This window comes from Homo sapiens, chromosome 4 (genome assembly GCF_000001405.40).
Source record: "Homo sapiens chromosome 4, GRCh38.p14 Primary Assembly".
NCBI classification, from domain to species: domain Eukaryota; kingdom Metazoa; phylum Chordata; class Mammalia; order Primates; family Hominidae; genus Homo; species Homo sapiens.
In genome coordinates, this window is record NC_000004.12 from 44,161,042 (window position 1) to 44,179,804 (window position 18,763).

An 18,763-nucleotide genomic window follows, 5' to 3' on the forward strand; every position below is an offset into this window, starting at 1 on the left:
CAAGCTAAATAATTATTCCACTGACAAGTGTTTTGGAAAAGGTGACTATTCTAAATAGCAAACTTTTTATAGCAGCCTGATTTAATCAAGTCTAAGGTACGAGCTCTTTTGAAGTGACTGGATTTATTACTTTGTCACAGCTGCCGGTTAGGCTTCTATCATGCAGGCACATGATTTCTAGGTACTGAGGGAAGTGATTATTATGATGTTTAGAATTCAAGGAACTCTAGAACAATGGAGGCAGTTATGAAAAATGAATTTTTTGCTGATTACTATCCTTCTTTGTCCAGGAAACAAAATCTGGATACATCAGTCAGTGCTTTTATTATTATTAGATCAGAACTGACAGTACTTTCAGTTATGAGAAAGGTAACTTTCAACATATCACCTGTTCTTTGATTTATGTTACTCCACTGTACTGATTTTGTATGGTGCATAATTCATGATAGAATTTTAATACAAGCACAGAGTGTTAAAATCAAGAACAAAAATATAACTAAAAAGGAAAAAGATTGTTCCTGTGGTCTCTCTTCCATACAAATTAAATTATGTTGAATTTGAATACGGGCTTCTGAGAAGACAGAAAGAAATGACTTGATCTAGGAAGATTCTATATAATACCACTGGATGTGCACAACTCTTTTGTGCATAAGAAATATGCGATTTCCTTTCAATGAAAAACTTTCCTCAGAAAAAGACAAACATTAAAATTATATCAATTTCAAAAACAGTAATAGAGCTGGAATGGATAAAGGTCCCCCCAAATCCTTTCCTTTTATTATGTAGCTCTGAAATGATTCCAAGCACGTACAAGATTTGCTACCTGAGTGACATAATGTTTTGCTATGGTAAGAACATGGAGTGTAATCCCTCTCCCCTCGAGAATGTTACCTCATACCTTATCAGACCATAAATGTGAATTATTGGCTTCAACTGCTGTACTCCAAAACATATATAACCCAAGACTCTGACAAACACATTGAGGGCATAGGCTGTGGCAAGGCTACTCTTGTCCAGTCCTTGAGCTGTTCCCTCAAGTCCTCCCTGCCCACACCTGCAATGCTTGCTGGTGCCAAAGGATGTTGTGTGTTTTCCCAGATCTCCACCGTGTTGGTCAAATTGTCTCTTCTGAGAATATCTCATAGAAAAGTATGCCTCAAACTTTGATTAGGCTTTATCTCCAAAGAGGACTGCTTCCATCCTAACTGAGCAACTAGACTTTAATAATTGGACTCTAAATGAAATTGGAATTCACTGTATGGTTTAAAATACCTCCTCCATCAAGTGTATTTCCTGTGAGATTTGTTCTCATTATTCTCCCTCTTTTTGAACATTGTGGAAAAAAAAGTCTCTTTCTGTGACAATAAGCCATGTGGATTGTGAAATCATACTTTGATCATTTCTCTATTTTAACCATAGAAAATATCACCATAAAATCTATAAAAATACTGGCAAAAATGCCCAAAATCAACTTTTTTAAAACTCTAAAACTTAACCAGAAACTTGTAACAGTTAGGAGAGTCTTTACTCAAGAAAAACAGCAGAATCCCAGTAAAAGAAATGAGTTTTGCAGCATTTTAATGCCCTAGTCCTAGGACCTTCTCCCTAGCTCTGTGAAAAGCAATAGCTACAAATCAAAGTGAAAACTAGCAGCCTAGCCTCTTCTGAAGGGGAAAAAAATGGGGCTAGGGTTCCTTCAAAGCAATTCCCATGGTTTGCTGGAAAATCCCACTGATAAAGCTTGTTTTTATTTGACCTGACTCAGACTTTCCCTAGTATGAACATTCTTTTCCCGAAGGTGCTTTTGGAAATAATCAGTGACAATTGTTTACCATCACAGTTACCTGAGGCAGTGATAACAGTTGGGGCAAACAATAAGCTAAACAAATTAATTAAAAGAAAAAAATGGGGAATTAGATATACACAGAGGACTTCGGAAAGCTCCAAAATATTTCTGGGAATCTGGAAGGTCACATATATATGCAGGGCTATGTACATGCCCAGGAAAGACTTGAGAACATTCTAAGCTCTCACTGCTGGCTGACCTTCAGGCTCTGAGTAAGCAGTGTGTGAACACCAAAATGGAGTGATAATTTGTCTGCCTGAATGTTGAAGGCATGCTCTCATATGTACATAGTTCATTGGCAATGTCTGGGAAACCTATTAATTTAAACATTTAAGAATATATTTGTAAATCATGTGTCTGATAAGGGTCTAAATATCTGATATCCAGAATATACGAAAAATTCTTACAACTTAAAAATAATAAGACAATCCAATTAAAAAAGGGGCAAAGGACTTGAATAGGCATTTCTTCAAAGAAGAAACATAAATCGCCAAAAGCTTATGCAAGATACTCAATTTCATTAGTTATTAGCGAAATGCAAATCAAAATCACAATGAAATAACACTTTGCACACATTAGGACAACTACTGAAAAAAAGAGAAGTAACAAGCATTGTTGAGGATGTTGAGAAGACTGCATTTATGAAGCATGTAAGACTGTAATTTATGAAGGCATAAATTACTAGTGGAAATGTAATATGTTGCAGCCACTTTGAAAAACAGTTTGGCAATTCTTCTAATAGTTAAACAGAGAGTTACTGTATTACCCAGCAATTCCACTCTAGGTGTATACCCAGAAGAATTGGAAACATACATCCAGTGAAAAACTTGGACACAAATGTTCATAGCAACATTATTCATAATAGCCAAGAGTGGAAATAATACAAATGCCCATCAACTGAAGAATAAAATTTTGTAGCCCCATACATTGGAATATTAGTCATAAAAATAAAGTACCGATTCATGATACAACATGGATAAATCTTGAAAACACTATGCTAAATAAAGGAAGCTCCACACAAAAGGCTACATATTGTATGATTTTATACATCATACATATGTATGATAAATATATATATATTGAATAGGCAAATCTACAGAGACCAAAAGTAGATTAGTTGTTGCCAGGGGCTGCCTACAGGGAAAGGGGATTCATAAATGACTGCTAAGGATATGGCCTTTCTTCCCAGGATGATGAAACTACTCTGGACACTGATAATAATTGTAAAACTTTGTGACTATGCTAATAACCACTGAATGGTATACTTTAAATAGGTGAATTATATCTCAATAAGAAAACACTGATAAATTTTGTTCGCTAAAGAAAAAGAGAAAAGAAATTCACTTTGTTGTCAAATTTTATACACATTTAAAATAGCAATTAGTGACATGTCATAGTATTAAACAAAAATTTAGGGGAAATATTACCTTTAGGGATAGTAGCAGCTCCCTGCCCCCTATAAAAAAAATCCTCAGCAGAAATATTTGCATTCTGATAATTCAGTTTTTACTACACTGATATGGATAGAACAGAATCTCAGATTGAGTGAATATTTACACTAATAAGTATTTAAGATGTCAACATTGATTTGTGTCAGAGTTTACTCTTTAAAATTTCCTCGGTACATAGAAGAGCTCTATGAAGCTTAGGTATCTTTTTGAAACTTCTCTAAAATTGCATATTTCCTTGAAAGTTTATATAACAAATTAACTTTACTAACAATCAAGAGGCAACTATAATGAGAAGAAGTAGACAAGCTTTGGTTTTTTGAAACAGAAAAATGATGCATAATTAATTGGATGTATAACTCCAGAGTGTTAATGTTGAATCCAGAGTGAGAAATTAGCATCTTACTTTAGAACAAGTTGGGAATTTGAGATAGTTTATTTCTCTGAAACTTCACTGGATAAATTTATGCTATTTTGTTTAGTAATTCATTCCTAGATTCATTTATTAATACATTTGTTTGCTTCCTTTATTTAATTTAGATATTTAACATTTGATTAATCATAAGCATTATTAAGTAACTAATGGTGCAAAACACTACTTAAACATAGTGAATACAAGGATAGTAGAGGTCGTAATTATTTTTTCATGTAATTATAGAACAAATCTATAGAATACCATGTGTAAATATTTTGAGATATAGCAATTCTGTATCTCTACTAAAGGGAATCAAATAAGGAAATATGGCAAAAAGGGCTTTTCATAAGTAGTTAGAAAAATGGTTGAGTAATGGTGAGTATTGTTTTAAGAATCTTACATGTATTATATGTAATACGTGTAAGGTTACATAAGGTTAACTACTCATTATCAATCCTTAGGATAAGTACTCATTATCACCACTATATTGCATTTGGCTAATACGTGATCAGGCTAGGGTTTGAACCCACACAGACAGCTTTTGTTATGTTGTGTTTATCTTGGTTTTGATGGGATTATTGATTTGATGTGAAAAACATTAGGGAAGAAAAGGAATTCAGAATTTAGAAAACAAAAAGAAAAGAAGTAATAGGAAGAAGATGTGTCTTCTTGGAGCTGAGGCTGATGAGAATTAGCAACTGGGAAACAAAAATGTACAGGGTTTGGCCACTTAAGAGAGGCCTAGGAATGACAGGTTCAGTCACACTAGACTCGCAGATGGCTCCTCGTCCTGAGACTCTTGTGTGAGGGAGTACATTATGAAAGCAGTGTTTTATGAAGAATAATGTTGCCTGGTACAGATTATTTGTTAGAGAAGTTATAGGAAGAGCTGTTAGAGAGCCATTACAGTAATCTATCATGCAACACGGTCAGAATTATGTAAGTCAAATCATTAGCCAAGAAAGCTGAAATAGATTCAAGTGATTTTTGGCCCTTCCGGAATGCCTTCAAAATATGGAGTATTAAAATTATGAATTAAAAGAATCCTTTTAACAGACCACAATCACCATTTCTTCTAGATGTCATATGCATTCACTTTCTCTGAGTTCATGCTTTGATTATAAGATTTCCAGGCTGGTATCTATTCCATTTCTCAATCCCCAATCTATTACCTTCTTTAATCACTTCATTTAAAATAATCCAGTTGAGTTTACAAGGTCCATAATTTAACTAACACCCTCACCATTACTTGTATCTCTCTTGCTGCTCTATATTTCATTATATTTCTCTGATGGTTAAAAAAAACAAATACAAAGCTAATTACTTTTATACACATTATCTATGCTACCACCCCCACACCTACTCTCTACCGCAGGAGCCTATACTCCTTCAGAAAATTATGCAATAAGATAAATTGGTATCACTATAAATTCTTGTTTGCCAACCTCAAAAATGCTCTTAACTTTCTCAACCTTGCTCAAAATTCCTAGGATATTTCTTGGGTCAACATTCTTCACCTTCTCAAAATGCTTTTTTTTAATTTAAAAGGTTAATTTTTCATTATGAGTTTCTCCAAACATATGCTAAAGTAGAAAGAAACCATGAGTATCTATCACTTGCTTCATCAATTATACACATGGCCAACCTTGCTTCATCTAGTTGAACCATTGCTCCTCCCCCATGGGTTATTTTAAAGGTAAATGTCTTAGATTTTAATCCATTAATACTTCAGAGGTATTTCTAAAAGATATGGACACTTTTTTCAACATATCCATGGTATTATTGTTAACAAATAATAATTTGTTATTACCATTAAACATTCATCTAAGATGAATAAACTCCTTGAAGATGATGATGGTATTACAGTTGGTTTGAGGGGAACTGGGATCCACATGAACTCCCAGTATAGCATCTATAGGATATGTCTTTTGACTATAGATTCTCTTCCCTCTTTGTTTTTCCCTGACCACTTTATTGTTGAAGAATTAACTTGTCATGTAGAATCTCCATCCTAGAAATTATTGACTGCACCATTTTGTTGTTATTTAGGTTTCTTTATCCCCTGTTTTCCCAGCAAACTGGCAGTTAGATCTAGGGACCTATCAGATACATCTCTGTTTTGGGCAAGAATACATCAGAGGTGGTACTGTGAGCTTCCTATTCTTTTGTGTCAGGAGGCACTAGTGTCTGGTTGTCTTCCTATGCATAATGTTAAGATTTGGCAGTGGGATCAGATACTATCAGTATGATCCACCCATTATAAAGTTTTCCATTATCCCTTCATGTAATTTTTGCTGCCATGGGTGGCTGGTGTTTAAATCCATTATTTCATTAGGGTTTGCAAAATAGTGAATTTCTATTTCTATAACTTATTCTGCTTGAAGAAAAAGATGAGAAAAAGGAAAGGTGAAAATGTGGTAGGAATGGGGTGTGGTAGGGATTGTATCTACAAACTCTATTTTATGTCACCAAATAGGTAAGGACTGTGCTGGCAAATCCTCATCTTTAGTTAGTGGGAGATAAAGGAAAACATGCACACGTTAGAAAATTGTGTCCCTGGCTCTTGCCCTTGCCCTCCCTCTCCCCTCTCCCCTCTTCCTCGTCTCCGTCTCCCACTTTCCACGGTCTCCCTCTGATGCCGAGCGGAGGCTGGACTGTACTGCCGCCATCTCAGCTCACTGCAACCTCCCTGCCTGATTCTCCTGCCTCAGCCTGCTGAGTGCCTGCGATTGCAGGCGCGCGCTGCCACGCCTGACTGGTTTTTGTATTTTTTGGTGGAGATGGGGTTTCACCGTGTTGGCCGGGCTGGTCTCCAGCTCCTGACCGCGAGTGATCTGCCTGCCTGGGCCTCCCGAGGTGCCTGGATTGCAGACAGAGTCTCACTCACTCAGTGCTCAATCTTGCCCAGGCTGGAGTGCAGTGGCGTGATCTCGGCTCGCTACAACCTCCACCTCCCAGCCGCCTGCCTTGGCCTCCCAAAGTGCCAAGATTGCAGCCTCTGCCCGGCCGCCACCCCGTCTGGGAAGTGAGGAGCGTCTCTGCCTGGCTGCGACCCCGTCTGGGATCTGAGGAGTGTCTCTGCCCGACCGCCACCCCGTCTGGGAGGTGAGGAGCATCTCTGCCTGGCCGCCCCGTCTGAGAAGTGAGGAGCCCCTCCGCCCGGCAGCCGCCCCGTCTGGGAAGTGAGGAGCGTCTCCGCCTGGCAGCCACCCCCTCTGGGAGGGAGGTGGGGGGCAGCCCCCGCCCGGCCAGCCGCCCGGTCCGGGAGGTGGGGGGCACCTCCGCCCGGCCGCCTCGTATGGGAAGTGAGGAGCCCCTCTGCCCTGCCGCCACCCTGTCTGGGAGGTGTACCCAGCAGCTCATTGAGAATGGGCCATGATGACGATGGCGGTTTTGTCCAATAGAAAAGGGGGAAATGTGGGGAAAAGAAAGAGAGATCAGATTGTTACTGTGTCTGTGTAGAAAGAAGTAGACATAGGAGACTCCATTTTGTTCTGTACTAAGAAAAATTCTTCTGCCTTGGGATGCTGTTAATCTATAACCTTACCCCCAACCCCCTGCTCTCTGAAACATGTGCTGTGTCCACTCAGGGTTAAATGGATTAAGGGCCGTGCAAGATGTGCTTTGTTAAACAGATGCTTGAAGGCAGCATGCTCCTTAAGATTCATCACCACTCCCTAATCTCAAGTACCCAGGGACACAAACGCTGAGGAAGGTGGCAGGGCCCTCTGCCTAGGAAAACCAGAGACCCTTGTTCACATGTTTATCTGCTGACCTTCCCTCCACTATTGTCCTATGACCCTGCCAAATCCCCCTCTCCGAGAAACACCCAAGAATGATCAATAAATACTAAAAAAAAAAAAAAAGAAAAAAAAAAAGAAAATTGTGTCCCTGTCATAAAAATATTGTATTGGTGAGCACAATGAAAGGAGCAGCAAATTCTACTTGGGAATTGCAAGTAGTTAAAAATAGCTGAAAAAGGACGTGTGTGTACATGTGAATACATGGTCATAAGTCTGGAGAAAGAAAGGAGACAGGAAATGGAGCACTTTATTAGTTATATAAAGTAGTTTAAGTCTTTTTCCCCAGTCGGCAGTGAAATGAAGAGATTTAAGCAAGAGGATAATAACAATGAAAAATTTTTGTTGTAGGAAGATCACTTCTCTAGCAGTATGAAGGATGGACCGGAAGGGGAAAGATTGAAGGCAGAGACCAGTGTAGTCATTATTACTGTAGCTGAAGTGGAAAATGATGAAGGTATGTACTTGCAGTTGCAGGCAAGACCGTCTTTTTATGTGTTTCTGGCTTAGCACTTGTTAAACTCTACTATAACTGTCTGTTTTCTGCATTGAACTGCAATAAGTGTTAAGCACAGTTGATGAGAGCAATCTACCCTAGGTAGAGGAAATAGGGGTAGATAATTTTAAAATGTCAATGAAACTAACTAAAAATTAATCTGCTTTTTATTATCACTATGCACTGGCAATTCAAAACAATGTGAATGTTAAAATACTTCTCCCCTCAAAAATGTTATTTGTGGGTCCAAGTTCTAATTGACTTATTTATTTTCATCAGTTTTAATTGATCAGTTTCCATTTCATCTTCTTAAAGGCATTTTAAAGAGAATTTAATTTGCCTCTACCTTAGCACTCTGCTGCTGCAACTGGAGACTGGAGAAAAAGACTGGGTGAGTAGAAAAAGAATTTACTCATAAGAATATGATCTTGAATATGAAAATTATGATTAAAACATCAGCGTTACTATATGCTTCAACATAAGAATGGTATATTCATTAAAACTTTGAAATATATTCAATAATATTTTTGTAAATTTTTTTTTCTAAAATAGCTTCATCTACTAGTTATCTTACACATTCAAACTTAAAGACTTGTCTCTTTCCTTACACAGTCCCCTTTCAACATCCTTATATCTACAAATCCAAATCCCCTTTCCTTCAAGTCCCATGTCACATTACACTTCCACCATAAAGCCATCTTTTCCTCTAAATCCATGTAACAATATTTGTGCTTTTATTACAGCCTACCCCACTGCCTACCCTGTATCATAGTCATTGTGTACACATCTTATAGTTGAAATTAAACCCATAAGCTCTTAGGTGTCTTTATTATGGCTGTATCTTTGATATTACCTGATAAAGTACTTAGCCCATGGGAACATTCTAGAAATAGGGATAGATTACTTTAATTTCATTTATGTAGAAAATGTACATGCTTTTTAAGATTCTTTCAACTCTGTAGTTATGTGATCTTTTTAACCCCTGTATGTAATGTTTCAAAGTGACGTTTTTAGGACTATGGAATGGAGAGAGAGGGTAATTTGAAAATAGGTTGGATGTTTACGGATTTTATAGGAAACTCTTTCAAATTTCATCCTTTCATAAACAAATATAACTAGGCCTTGGTAAAATTTATTTAATACTCTGAACTACAGATCATTAACATTCCAGGTCACAACTTATGTTTACTGTATGCCAAACCAAAAGGAGACACTGTAGGAGAGAAGAAATAATTTTCAGCCTAATCACTGCATCTCAAGCAGGAGATGCCAAAATCATGTTCATCCAAATTGAAACAAACTGTGAAATATTTTTAAGATATCCCTTTGAGTAATCTCTCTGTGAGGGATTAGGAATGTAAAATCAATGCGTGAGATTTGGCCTGGAAACGCTGTAAAAGGGCTTTTAGCAAGCCTAGGGAGGCAGGAAGAATATCTATCAATGGCTGTTAATGATATTCTTGCATTGAAAAGGATGTTTATTAATTTGCAAAAATTATTGTGCCCACTGTGTGCAGAAACTCTCTACTCATTATTTTTCCCATTCAAAGAAAAGTAAGATCTTAAGCTACATGAAACATCTTTCAATCTAATTAAAAAGACAAGTGTACGTCATTACCCTTATATATTATGACATAAATGATAGGTACAGAAAGGATGTTTTTAAAGTGATCTGAGATATCTGAGAATGAAATGATTACTAATTCTGTTCTGATAAATTAAAGAAAGCTTTGAAGAGTAGGTGTCATTTGAATTAAAACACATTAGTATGGGTAGGATTTCAAAAGGTGGATGAAGAAGTTTGTATGTGTTTGGGTTTTAGAGGAGTTGGTGATGGTATTGATTTTAGGGTACAGGTAATCATAAATCCATAGTAATTGGTGAGCAAAGAGTTTGCTTCTAGATGTGAAAGCATATGTCAGAACTATGGTAGGTTGCAAATGGTCACAAAATCTTTGCTGCTCTTCCTATGAAGAAGTAGAGCTATTTTCACAGCCCCTTTAATTTGGAATGGCTTGCTTTGACCATTCCAAATAGAGTACAGAGAATATGATGCATAAGTTGAGAGCTACACCTTCAGGGCCTTGAACACTCTTTCGTACACTGCCACAATGTGAATAAATCTGAGCTAGACCATTGGAAGGGCTATATGGACAACTGAGTCACTGTAATTGAAACATGTCAATGGCCAAACATTCAATAAAGACATTATAGATTATTCATCCCCTGCCAAATAACCAGGATTATCCAGGTAAGTAAGCCGAGGTGAGATCCGTGGAAGAACAGCCCAGCTGATCTCAGGACAAATTGCCAATTTACAGAATTGCAAGCAGATAATTTTTTTTTAAGCCACTATCCTTTCGAGTGGTTTGTTGCCCAACAAAGGTAAACTGATATGGAGCCATTTTATTGAGAACCTATATTATGGTTTATACAGTGTTTGAATTTTATTCTATGAAAACTGGGGAGGCTTAAAAGAACTAATGCAATTTTGTCCACTTCTCCCCAACCTGACAAAGCAGAGTTTATCTAAATGTTTTCTGTCTTGCTACCCCTTTCCTGGTCTTTTGACTAAAGAGAACAGACATTTGTTGGGGCTTGTCTGCACCTATTAGTGTTTCTGGGATGTGTGAGGCTCAAGTCTGGGATGTATGAGGCAAAAGGAAACCTAAGGAAACTTACCACCCAATATCCCTAGCTAGCCTTCCCTCTTCTTTCAGCCTTTTGGAGTCTTACTTTTTTTTTAAATATAATGTAAAGGGATTTAATTACACTTAGTAGGAAGAATAGGAAAAGGTAGTCTACTCCATTTTTCCAGAATCAAAAATATCACACTTGACTTCTACTTTTTTCTCTCATCTTAGTTAGTACTAAATGTTTCCATTTAAACTAGCAATGGTAACACATCAGGTCACAAGTTCAGTATCTACTGTGTACCAAACAAATGTAAAACATGTGGGCGAGAATAAATACTCAACTTCAGTGCCTGATTCCAGTCTTCTGACTTGTGGTGATTGTCAGATTTTATCTACTGGGTTTTTGGAAAGGGAGTTTTATATACCAATTTTAGCCCAACTCACCATGGAAGTTTGGTGTCTTCTTTTTCTTTCAAGGAAGAATCCCTGTTCTTGCTGCATCCCTTGATCCCTTTTTAACCCAAATAGAGACCAGCCAAGTTTTAGCTTCTGGGGAAAGCATGATGGTTTGGGAGAATCAGACCCACTCTAAGCTTCCTTCCAAAAGCAACAGCTGGTCATTTGTGTTTCTTGAATTTGCTGTTGACCTTTGAGACAAATGCTTGGTGTATGATAAGTGCTCAAAAGACAGTTGTTGAAGTGGGCGCCCTTCTACCCCATGGTTCAGAACTTTTATTCTAATTTAGCAAGGACTGTAAGAATAGACAATTATCACTGGCCTCACTTATTTTACAGTGTAGAGATACGAAGAGATGGCAGGGTTCCCAGTTACCAAATTATTTCCATTGCAATTCGATTTGAGCTATTTTATTGGGGGAAAAAAACAGAGCAAGGTGCAAGGTTTTCAGATTTATTCCTTGATTCCTTGCCTTTTGCAGTTGGACTTTGTGTCTCAAGGGGAACCCTTGTACAAATTACATTTCCTAGGCTGCTTAGACAACGGGCTCCTACTTATATTGGGAAGAGGGAAGGTGCTGATGTAAAATTAGAATGTGGGAAAAGTGGAAAACTAGAGTAATGTTCTCTTCTGTGCTTCATGAAGCATCTTTGAAAGTGATTGTGACTCCTTAGAGGCTATAGTTCTTACCAGACAGCTTGCCCCCGAGTATTACAAACTCCCCATTTGATAGTGCTGGTTCCTAGACTTCAGTAAGACAAACACCTTCCTTTTTTCCCTCCAGCTCCAGTAGTGCTGGTGATGCTTTACTTCAATTACGTCATTTAAATGTTTTCTATGGTATTATGCCCCTTTATTTTCCCCATTATCCCTAAGATCACAGATAGTAAGTGGTACAGGTGGGATTCGAACTGTGGAAACCTTACTGCCAAGCTCTATCCTCTCACCAGTGTGTTGCAGCTACATCAAGCCATGTTGGGACTGCCAACCTTCCCAAAATGAAATGCAGAACTTGAGAGCAGCTGTTTGCCTAAAACCTGATAGATAATTCAAGGTAAATCATATATATTAGTTTCCTTTAATAGTCCACTGTAGGTGATATTTTACATAATGGTACAGTGAGAAATCTAACAATGCATCCAAAAATGAATGCAGATTTTTTAAACTTTGAGTTGATAATGCTCATCTTCTTGTATTGTGCTGAAAGAAATGATACTTCAAATGCTGCTCAACTTCCATTTTGACCAACTACAGAGGAGAATGGGTTCTTTAATTCTTGAAGATAATTTTACCCTCTCTTAGCCTTTCTTTTAGTGAAATTTCATGATGTTATACATTTCTTTCTGTGGATATGGCAAGGCAAAATTGTGTGGCTTATGACAAGAAAGCTTCTTTCCACATGTACAACCAGGAAGAAATCATTTTTCATAAAGCCTGGCCTTTTAGTTTGATATTGCCATTTTTGTGCCTTGATCTGTAAGAGGTAACTTACTAGTTGTTTTTGGAGAAGCATTCAATCTGGTTAATAGGTAAAATAACATTTTAGTGTATTTTTACATGAGGACTTTTTCTCTTGTGGGCTAAGTGTTTATTAATCCATACCAATGCTATCTGGATCTGACTATGTCTCCATTTTGAATTACGTTTAAAGTTGTCAACATTAAGTCTGAACAAATAATTCTACAGCTTAGAGTTTTAAAGGAAAATTGAAAACAAGATGACAGTTGAATATTTTTAAAGAAGAGTCAATAGAAATCAAGAAATTCTAATACATTTTTCTTTTTTTAATAAATACATAAAGCTCTTTACCATTTCCCTCTATTATTTTGATTAACATGATAATAGGATCTTTCAAAGCATCATTATACCAATTTTCACAGCCCGATGTAAGACTCATTTCACAGTAATAATCATGACTAGCATTAGTAAATGAATGTTGATGCCATAAATAACAGTATAAGGCATATTTACACCATCTTAATATACATAAACACCATACACATACACAAAAAAGTCACAGATCCAGAACAAAGAAAATTCAATCTCCTAGACAGCTTACATTTATAGGCTTTGTCTAAAACATTTTTTTTTGCTTTTTTTTGTAATTTTTTTCTTTCCAAGCAACAAACAGATCTTCCCTATTTCTTGTGATTTATTTGTAACATTGTATTCATGCAAAAATAATACTTGTTTCATTGAATTAACATTTAGACAGCTTTAGATTTGGGTCCTATAGCCATCGTCTAAAATTTTACTTGATGTTGCTTCATCCATATATCATTTTAGTTGGTATGATATGATGGTTTGTTTTTGGTAAGTTACAAAATGACAAACATATCCAGTTGACCAGAGTTCAAAAACCAAGATACTAAGCTTGATCATGCACATTTTACTTTCATTCTTGTAAAATGGTTTGAATCAGATATTCCATTTTGATTTAACACTTATTGATTTAATATTTTTTCCTTTTTAATCATGTTTCTAAAAAGAACAACAACTAAAACATAAAAGAAAATACTGTCCCACATCCACTGTTCACAACAAGGAAGAGCAGCAAGAATCACACTGACCATTGTTAGGACATCAGTCAGGTGGTGACACTGTAGTAAACATTGAATGTCATCAAAATACTGCAGGAATGTGACAATTACTATAACCCATACTTCTGCAACAGTTCAGATTGCCATTGGCGTTTGCGCTCTGGAAAATAATCTGGAATGTGGATTTTTTTAAAATCCTGAATACACTTTTTCATTTCTTCTTCCACACTTAGCTTCTCACAGACTTTCTTTTTGGACAGATTTGTTTCCCGGGACTTGCTGATGAGGGTCTGAAAGAGTTCACTGTTTCTGCGTTTGTCTGGTGGGGGTATCCATTGTACAGGTGCTTTTTTAGAGGGGCGATCCAATGTTAAAGTGTTAGGTTGGTGAGCTGTTGCCTGCTGGGCACTGGATGGGTTGTCCTGGGGAGTGCTTGCCTCTGAATGGCTGTCACAACTGGAAGTGGAGAGCTCATTACAGGAAGTCCCACTTTCACTTCCTTTATCAGTGACTTTGTCATGTTTCCTATCTTCATGTTCTTGTTTAGGTGATACTATTTTCTGAGGTGGTCCTAAAAAGGAGGAAAAAAAAAGAAGAAGAGTAGAACAGTTGAATAAGAAGTGTGAAGGTAAAATTAAATGAACTCTATATTTTCTATTTTAAACCAAGAACATTTATTTTAACAAAAATGGTGCATATTGTACTAGTCTAGGTTTGTGAGATTAAATACAAGACCTAGGGTCTTTAGTGTACATTGAAAGATGCAGTATGCTGATTAATTATTCAAAACAATAAAATTTGAGAAATTTGTTTAATGAGAGTTTCTGTCTTAGAGACCATCAATAGCTTCATATTGAAAAGAAGATTTTTGTTATTTTAATTACTAGTTCCTGGAATATAAAAAAAAATGTAATGTTTTGTTAGCCCTCTATCTGTTTTGTTAGACACTTAGCTCATTTTTGTTCTACCCACTGCACTAGGTGTCCTTTGTATATATATTCTGCCACTGTAAAAGCAAGAAAGTACCATTGATATATTTTACAAAGCTGCAGTATTCTCCAGGCCCAGAGCTGCAATCACATCATTTATGCTTCCAAAGGGGAGGCTGGTTTAAATCTTATTCTTAGTCTCTTAATCTTATTTCATGTCTACTTCCTAGAGGAAAATTGTGAAAGTGCTATAAGATATATAGGGGCCTAATATTATGGTGTGAAAATATAGTTGAAATATGGTATTCTCTTAAAATATAAGGCCTACCATTTGAGGTAAATTACTTAGGAAGGCAATTTTCAGAAAGTGATAGTTTACCAAGATAATTATTTCAAATTCACAGTGTGTTTCCAAAAAGAGGCATATTTTATTCTCCCTGACTCCACTGTGGGATTAGGATCTCCATTTAACATTTATTAAACACTACCACATACCCAGAGCTGTTCTAAAACCTTCATTAAATGGAGCCCAACAATTCAGAGATCTAAATTACTCAACTCTTATTTTATTTTCTTAGAGTCAAACTTTTGAACAAGTTGTATAAATCAGAATCAGGAGGAAGGCATCAGTGTTTTTAAACAATTGCCCAGGGGTTCTATTGTGCAGCCAGAGTTGAGAACAACTGGTCTAATTTCGGGGGTCTAACCTTGGAAGCATACTGGAATCACCTACAAAGCTTCAGATTATTGATACCTTGGAACCAACCCCAGACCTCCTGATTTAATGGGGTGCCACCTGGCCATCAGGTCATTTAAGATTTCAATGTGCATCCAAGGTTATGAACCACTGATCAGTCTAATATATATGAAATGAATTAATAGCCAACATGGGCAGTTGATATTACTCAGAAGGATTAAGAGATAAAAAACCTTTTCTTAAAAGCAGCTCCTATGTGCAACACTGCTGGTTTCTATCACCATTTTTTTTCTATTCAAAAATTAGAAGAAACATAAGTCAATGCCAAATATCGAATTAAAGATTTTTAAAAGTTTTACAACTTTTTGGAATTATGGAAATATTCTATCTCTTCATTATGGTGTTGATTATATGACTGTATACATTTGTGAAAACTGATAGAACTGTATGCCTTAAATGGCTGAGCTTTTATGTATGTAAATTATACCTTGACTAACCTGACTCCCCCTCCTGAAAAACACAAACAACAAAGAAACATAAAGTATATATGTCTACATCTATCTATCTATCTATCTATCTATCTATCTATCTATCTCAGGGAAAGTCTTAAGCAATATTTCAAACTTCCTTTGTCTGCAATATGATAAAACCAGGACAAATGCTAATGCTTATAATTGCTTAGTAAGGAAATACACCATTACATTTCAGAAGTATTTGCAACCAAATATTTAAAAAAATTGTTGGGTTTTATTTGTTTTAAGCCTCTCTCTGTCAGGGAGAGTCAGCTGAGACTTTGGGGTAGGGTGGAGAAAATGCACTGCTAACACTCTGTGCTGGACTTACCCAGATCCATTCTCTATTCTCCTCTGTCCACAGTGGCTGATGGGTACAGACTATGTTCTTAAGCTCTCTTGCCTTCTGGCTTTCAGATGGATTCAGTCAACAGCAAAGACTAGCAAGACAACACCCTAACCCCACCCCACCCCCAGGAATGTGATGATCTGGTTATATCCCTGGACCTAGAGGCACAGCCCTATCAGGAAGCTCTCTCTGTCTCCCTCTCCCTTCTCTTCTCCTTCCCTCTTCTACCACCCCTCTTGAGGCTCATAGTTTTAGGCCTACAGGTGTTGATGTGGTTTGGCTGTGTCCCCACCCAAATATCATCTTGAATTGTAACTCCTACAACTCCCACTTGTCATGGGAGGGACCCAGTGGGAGGTAATTGAATCATGGGGTTGGGTCTTTCTTGTGCTGTTCTCGCTATAGTGAATAAACCTCATGAGACCTGATGGTTTTAAAAAGAGGAGTTCCTCTGCACAAGCTCTCTCTCTTTGCCTGCTGCCATCCATGTAAGACATAACTTGCTCCTCCTTGCCTTCTGTCATAATTGTGAGGCCTTCTCAGTCATGTGGAACTTTAAGTCAATTAAACCTCTTTTTCTTCCCAGTCTCAGGTATGTCTTTATCAGCAGCGTGAAAATGGACTAATACAGGTTTTAACCATTTAGGTACCATAACTAATCTTAGTGTACTTCCTACACTGGTGTAAATTGTCCCATATTAAATGTTATTAAATGTCCCAGCTGAGTGTGTCTTCTCTCTCTTCCTGGGTTTCTGATAGATCCACTCTATCAGACCCACTCTGGCCACCAGCCGTCTTTTCCATTGACTAGAGGGATGTTACTTGAAGGATCAGTTTTTAGTGGCACCAGATTTATGTGGCAATAAAATTTGAAAATAAATAGGTTTGGGGTCCTACTGACTTGGATTAAAATTCTGGCTCTCCAGAAAATACTAGCCTTGTGGCTTTGAACAAGATACTTAGCTCCTCTAAGCATTAACTTGCTCATCTATAATATGAGTAAAACTACTTTCCCCATAGGAGCATTTTAAGATTAAATAAAATATCATGTAAAAGGATCTAGTATAATGATTCTCAACAATGAGAGTATATCAAGGTATATCAGTGGTATTTTTTGAATGTGCATATGTCATATACATCCCTAGAGGTTTTCAGTTCAGTGTGAAGGGCTGGTATGTATGTGTTTATATGAAGCCGGGAGTGGTGGAGGAGATGCAGCATCTCTTTAGTTACCTTTATGGCTGAATGTGATCCTAAGCAAGCATGAAATTCAACACCCTAATACAACATAGTATATAAATAAATGTTGTTTTTTTTACCCTTTCTGTCAATATTTTGCTATACTTTAACCAAAAGCCCCCATCAAAGGAATCTATGATTTTCATTCCCAATAATGACTAAAGGATTAAACTGCAAATATCTAAGCAAAGCAACTTACATTAAGGATAAATAAGTGATGAAAAAAATAATTTCCTGTTTATTGGCAGGGCAACAGAGAATTAGATAGAGTTACTCAGGCAGAGAAGCAATAATATCAAAGTGAAAGACAATTCAGAAAGAGAGTACTAGATACTACCAAAGTAAATGCCTTATTCTATTTGTTTCTATTCACTGGGAGGAAGAAAAAAATGCTTAATGACAATAGAATGTAACATTTGTGTCTTGAAAACTAACTGGTCTTGCAGTGCAAGATAGAAGATTAAGGAAGCCCTCTTTGAAGAAGAGATCAATGAATTCAGCTGAGAATTTTGTACCCACCATGTGCCAGACATAGTGCTAGGTTCTGGAGGAGACACAACTATGGATAAGATGAGCTTTCTGCCTGATGAAGTTCATAGGCTTTCTCCAACTCCAAGTGGGTGAGGACAAAAAGATGCAGAGAAAAGATTTTACATGTGTGTAGAATGATCCCTATAATTTTCTGGGAAGATGAACTAAGATGCACTCCATACCAAATGGGTCTAACTGAATTTCCTACACTAGCTTTTTTTTTTCTTTCACTTTTTACTTTCAAATTTTCTTTGCCACCTTCGAAAAAGTCATCTATATCCCTCTCTTCTCCTCCCTCTTGTCTTTCCAATGACAAATAATATGGGCCAGGGCATGGTCGGAAATAGAGTCTATTAAAGAATAGTATTTTATAATTATACAGTGTTTGAAATGCTTGGGATATTTTAGAATATCTCTTTCTATAGACTTCAAGAACTATGAAGAAAAGGGGAACCTGAATTTACTGTGATTTTAAGAGCTTTAAAAATAAAAAGAACTTAAAATAGTTATACACATTAATTAGAATTAAATATATATTAACATATAACATATATTCATGTTATATATATGTTTTATATATTTTTATATATATATATATTCATGTTCTTTCACATTTTGCTAATCCTATTTAATACAATATCTTTAGGCAAGGTGAACTCCCAATCAGACCAAACAGATTCGGAGGTTTATATAATGACTTAAAAGAGAATGCTTGGCTTTATTTTGTGTACATCTTTGAAAGAATAGAATAATATGACTGCTCTTTGTATAAATCATTAGGGATCACTAATAGTCTTTTTTGGATTTATGCTATCAGTTTTAATTGCTATCCATTTAAGCATACTTTAAATTATTATTGATAACTTAG

At 36.6% G+C, this 18,763-nt stretch overlaps 1 protein-coding gene across 2 annotated transcripts in view; it reads right to left on the reverse strand.

Moving 5' to 3' along the window:
- Nucleotides 1-12,861: 12,861 nt before the first annotated feature.
- The window catches only part of KCTD8 (potassium channel tetramerization domain containing 8), a 274,907-nt gene continuing 269,005 nt past the window's right edge, over nt 12,862-18,763 (reverse strand). For both annotated transcript variants that reach the window (NM_198353.3, XM_011513690.4), the window contains one exon: nt 12,862-14,209. In NM_198353.3, the coding sequence (NP_938167.1) occupies nt 13,749-14,209 (461 nt within the window). In that variant the 3' untranslated portion in view covers nt 12,862-13,748. The remainder of the gene's footprint in view (nt 14,210-18,763) is intronic.